This window comes from Homo sapiens, chromosome 18 (assembly GCF_000001405.40).
Source record: "Homo sapiens chromosome 18, GRCh38.p14 Primary Assembly".
In the NCBI taxonomy this organism is placed as follows: domain Eukaryota; kingdom Metazoa; phylum Chordata; class Mammalia; order Primates; family Hominidae; genus Homo; species Homo sapiens.
Window position 1 is genome coordinate 30,392,947 of NC_000018.10, and position 6,000 is coordinate 30,398,946.

Sequence of the window (6,000 nt, forward strand, 5' to 3'; positions counted from 1 at the left end):
GAAATACTTTTAAGGTACAGACAAAATTAAAAGTTAATATTCATCTAACTTAGTGTGGAAGGAGGGAAGTTAGAAAATAAGAACTTCTAATAATATTATTAAAGATTAAAATTTTAAGAGAAAAAATAGATGGTTTTAAACACAAAGTTTATAATATGGAAAAACATTATCACACATACATTTCAAATATATATATACTAAACAGTAAATATTTTATTATGCTTACAAATATATTTATGTATCAGAATATAAGTATTTACATTTATCATTTAGTGAATTCTCATAACTCAATAACAAACCTTCTAAAATTAAAAAAGAGAAAGGAAGAAGTAATTTACAAAGAAATAATTCTGACAGTACATATTTTAAAGATTTACAACCTTATGATAATTTAAAAATTACAACAAAAGTAAAATACATTTTTTCATCCATCAGATTGACTGATTGTGTATATCTTTATATCTTTTTCTCCTTAGTGTCTCCTCAAAAGAATCCCCTGAATAGCTAGGCATTTAAAATACAAATGAAAAAAAATATATTATAAAATACAGATGGAGAGGTTTCACACAAAACTATTAATGAGAAATTCTGGAAAAAGGTCTGGAAATATGAATTTTAAATGAACATATTAATTACTTCTTATGATCAGGCAAGCTTGGAACTCGTGGCTTATATCCAAGGCAGTAAAGCACTAAACTGTTAGCAATCTTATTCTCTTTGTATTAAGATTGAATAAACTTATTTTTACTTATTATACTCGAGTTTTTTTTCCTCAAGGCTTTCCAATGAACATTTATTACTTTTAGAGTAAAAAATATAATAAGGCTACAATAAGCATAGGAGATAAAAATATAAATAAAAACAAAATGGAGTAAACAACAAATAAAATTTAAATAAGAAGAACTAGAAAATGGTTATATCAAATATTATATTCACAGTGATATTTTTAATATATTTTTAAAATCCCTTATAAACCAATAATGAAACAAACCAGTAAGCAATCGTACAAAGTAAACAGACCATTTATACGCATGCATTTAAAAGGGACCATATATATATATATATATACACACACACATATATAACATATATATATATATAACTTATATATAATGCAAACTGACTAATAACATAAAAAATAATGATTACAACAATGTGGTAACATTTTAAAACCATCAATTAGCAAATATCTGGAAAAATAATAATGCCCAGCACTGGCAAATATACTTTGGGACTGGTGTTGTTGTATACTCTGAAAAGCATGTGAATTTATCTAAACTTTATGAACTCTAGTAATATATATCAAAAGCTTTAACGATATGTTCCATCTGAATAACACCATTCTAAAGAAATAACCAGCCATGTAAACAAAAATTTATATATTCATTCGAAGGTGTATTACTTCAAATAAGGATGTCATCTAGGCTTCCCATAACAGGCTACTAAATATTCATAAATTAAAATGTTTGTAATGCAATTTTTAACACCATAGTGGGAGCTCCTTGAGAGTATCCTGCCTAGGAAAGATGAGTGGAGTTGGGAGCTGCCAGGGAAGTGAGGGCAGGAGAGGTTCTGGTACAAATATTTAAATAATTTTTTTCAAGAATGTTTAATGACCTAGAGAGATGCTGAGATTATAATGTTAATGGATAGAAATAGTCTACAAAATTGCACAAGGTAAGTCCCCATTTTTGAAATATATTTATGAAAATATTTCAGTAGTGATTTTTCTGCTGGAAGACAAAGTAATTTTAATACCTCTCTTTATAACTTCCTGAAATGCCTGAATTTTTAAATAATTAGGCATATGTTACTTATTTTTAAAAATATGCAATAATGAAACAGGAAAAAGTAGAAAGAGTAGAGTAATGACATTATAATTTTACCCTGACATAAAATATTACAATGCATTTTAGTATGTTTGTTACTGATGAAGCAATTTGTCAATGGAAATTCAACCTCAGAATTTTAATACCGATGTTATCACACTTGCTTAGGATGATTTGAATTCTGTAGTAAATCCAACTCCATTATGATAACTGCTCCAGCAAATTTCCATGTTGAGAGGTGGATTTCCTGTTGTGAAAAACAGGTGAATCCCAAATGTCTGATAAATGGTGACTTTCAAGAAGAGTTGAAGAAATAAAGTGGGGAAAAATAACTCTACAATGAAAAATGGCACCTATAATAGGAAAGTCACTATGGAAACAGATCACTGTTGGCAGCAACTTGAGTTTTCAATCATTCCAGATGTAGAAATTTTCTGTTAAATACTACTTTAATCACCATCACTTTTTCTGTGGTGATGGGTTTTATCAGGTTAAAATAAAGTGTTTTTATTCATTCACTCTTTTATCTTAATTTGCTAAGCATTATATATATGTAATGCAGTAAAATATTAGGAAATGAATATGATACAGGTCTTGTCCTATAGAAGATGCTGTAGAAGACGGTCATGACACATTATAAATATTATACAAATATCCCTGTAGTTCCTTACTCCAATATTTTCTCTATATTGTGTCCTTCACTGGACAGTAACAATTTTTAGAGATTTTGTTGTTGCTTGTCTTTGTAAGTCTATGACCAATATAAAAATATAGTAGGTTGTCAATACATTTTCAATGAATGAATAAAGATAGGAGAAAACACCTAACCATTTAAAGGGGTTCTAGGAAGCAGGCTACAATAGAAATACTTTCAATGATATTTGGGTTGAGGTCTTAATGCTAAATAACGGCATTAAGAAAGAACATTCTAGAAAAGTAGCAAGTGACAAGAAAGCTTCAAAATGTCCACAGCCAGGCTGAATCATGGTGAGGAACCTCTAAATGTCAGCTTAAATTAAAAACTCTGTAAGTATTTACAGTAGAACTAAACATTTTACAGTTTTTAAAAATTTACAGGTTACTACTCACCTGGTTGTGTTTGCTTTACTACTACTTTCATTTATATTACCATTTTACTGACTATATTATGTATAGGGAATATGAATGGTTTATATGTAAATGGCACTTTTATTAGCCATAGATATAATTTGCATTAACAAGTATCACTTTACTGATTTTAAAAAACCCATGCTATTGCATGACTTGAGTGATTTAAAAGTTAAATAAGTATGGCTTCTCTTCCTCCTTGTTTTGTCTAAAAAGGATAAACAATTCCATTTCACTTGGATGAATGAATGGTTAATATTCTTTTCTTTTTCCTTAAATTAAATCTGAGTTAGCCCTTATTTGCCTACATAAGTTAATATCTAATTTTAGTTATTTGAGAAGGTATCTCTTTATTAGAGGGCAGAGGTGAAAAGATGAGATGAGGCATTGCTTAGGAAGGTTTTTCTGTGCCTGTCAATTGTGATTTTCATTAGAATGTTCTTGTTGGTTCACTCTCAGAAACATGGTGGCAGCATGTTCACTCTTCCCCAAACTAAGCCATTGGAACTTTTCTAGTATTTCCAAGGGAGAGTTAACAGTTCATTTATGGTTATCAGCAAAACCATCATCTTTAGTGTCCCATCTATCTCCAGGGAGCTACAAATAAATGAGATATCAATGTCTGCCCTCATCCATTCTTCCAGTTACAGAGAAGCCTTGGAAAGTAGTCATTCTTCTATTATTATATATTTGCCAAATAAATAGCCACATTCCAAATACCAGGGGATGTGTTAATTTGCTCAAGCAATAAAACCACACCTGGTACAGCAGCTGCAGTTAAAGTCCCACCTAGTTAAGCTTACAATAACCCACTGACATTCTCCAAAATTAATCTGTCTTCTACACAGGCCAAATAGGAGAATTGAATGGGGATGTGGAAGGAATCACTACCCCTTTATCTTTTAAGTCCTTGATGTTGGCACTTATCTCCACAATTCTTCCAGAAACGTGGTATTGCTGTTGGTTGATTATTTTCCTAGGTAGAGGCAGTTCTAGTGGCTTACACTTGGCCTTTCTCACAATAATAACCTTACTCCAAGTATCAAAGAATTAATATGAGGATTCTGCCAGGTGCTGAATATTGTCTATTCTAATTGTGCATTGGAACTGGGGAAATAAGCACAAAATGGGTTCTGCGATCCACTGGGACCACTGTAAGAGGCTGACCTAAAACTCCATTGACCAGCTGACCCCCACAAGTCCCTACTCTGACTGGTAGATCACAGTGATATTTTGAGTCTTGCGGAATTAACATCAATACAGAGCCAATATCCAGCAGTCCCCAAGAGGTCCAACCGTTTCCTTTTCCTCAGTGCACCATTACCCTGGTAAAATACTGTAGGTCCCTCTGAGGAAGGTTAGGAAATGATTATCAGTATAAATGTTGGACAGCATAACAGGATCCTCCTTAAAAGAGACCCAGCCTTCCTTTCATTCAAGAAGTATTAGATCTATAAACCGGCTCAAGTTTGGGAATTGATTAAATGGCTATGACTATTTTATGATTCAGATTAGTCTTTTGTTCACTTTATCTATATTTCTGCTTGTACAAATCAAGTAGAGTGTGATAGACTTTGTATCTATTTCAGTTCTAGAAACACCATGATCAACTAGCCAATACTGGGGGTCTGTATAGGTCAGGCTATTCTTATTGCTGCTTTGAATCTACTGTCCATTATGGAATCCATGCCCACCTTGCCATTGGTAGTTGAGAACCACCACTTGGCCCCTCCCCATTGCTTTTAGGTTTTCCTATTCAGCAGCCACAGTACCCCACTGCAAGGTCTGGTCTCCACAGAATAGTGATGCCAGAGCTCACAAAAGATGCTGGGGCTCCCCTTACAAACTTATTTTCCACAGTTGTGGTGAAAGGTGTGTCTTCTAGACCTTCCCCAAATGTACGTAGGTCTCAAATGCAAAGCCACTCTAAGTCAAGTCCCCCTAAGGCTTCAAATCTTTCCTCTACGATAAACTAATACAGGCCTGGCATTTCTAATTCACTCACTGTGGGTTAGCTTTTGGTCCATGTTTTAGTTAACCAAACAAACTGTTAGAGCCCCTGCTAACTCCCTGAGCTGCCACATTAAATGCAGAATCCCTGCTTAGTAAGCCCATGTCAGTATATTCAGCCTGATCCAACTTTACATTTTTTCCACAATTATACCACATCCTTTATATTTATTCTCACATATATTGCCTAGAATTCTGTGGGTATAAATTAGAAAACTCAAGTAGGTCTTTTGAGGCATAGTGCATCACCTCATGGATCATACTTTGTACCTCATCTGTATGGGCCTATTGGAACATGAGCCTAGTTATAAGATTAGGAGCAAAGAAGGGAGGTGGGAGTTGGGTCTTGAGGAAACTCAGCATTGCCTTCAAATAAAACTTGCCAGCATGGAGGCCATTTCAGTTCCCTTAGGCAATGCAAAGTTAATTCTCTTAGACTGGGGTGGAAAGACCATTTTTACTAGGGATCATGAGGGTTCTTTTGCAAGGGGAAGAAAGCCCACTTCTACTAGCAAAGGAGATTCATTAGAATGTGGGAGCTCAATGTCCCCAGCTCCATCAGGGTCATTCGCCATTCCCCATTTCAACTTTTAGGATTCAATTTCTTTCCAATCAATGCCTTCACTTTAACAATAGATATCTTACAAGGCTGGAGATTCCATTTTCACTGCAATTCAACCAGTTGCTAGATGAGATCCTGAATTTAGTTTTCAGCAATCTCAGGCCTGTGGCTAAAGAGGATAAAGGTCTTTCACAGACAGACATGAAAGCTTTCAGGTCATTTATGTGGTACTTGAGCTAAGAATTTCAATCCCTGAGTTTATCTTTTTACCCCACGTTGTCCAAACATATTGAGAGCACCAAGCCAATCTCATTATACTCAGTTTGAAAAAAATGTTAGAAAGTATCATACACATGGTCACCTACATCTTTGCTTCTTATAAGTGTTTCATTAAGAGTATCCAATGGTGACATTCTGTGTATCTCTATTGCCAGGTCATTTTGTGGACTGTCAGTGCTTGCTTTCCTACTAGAAATAAGAGTTGTTAGTGGA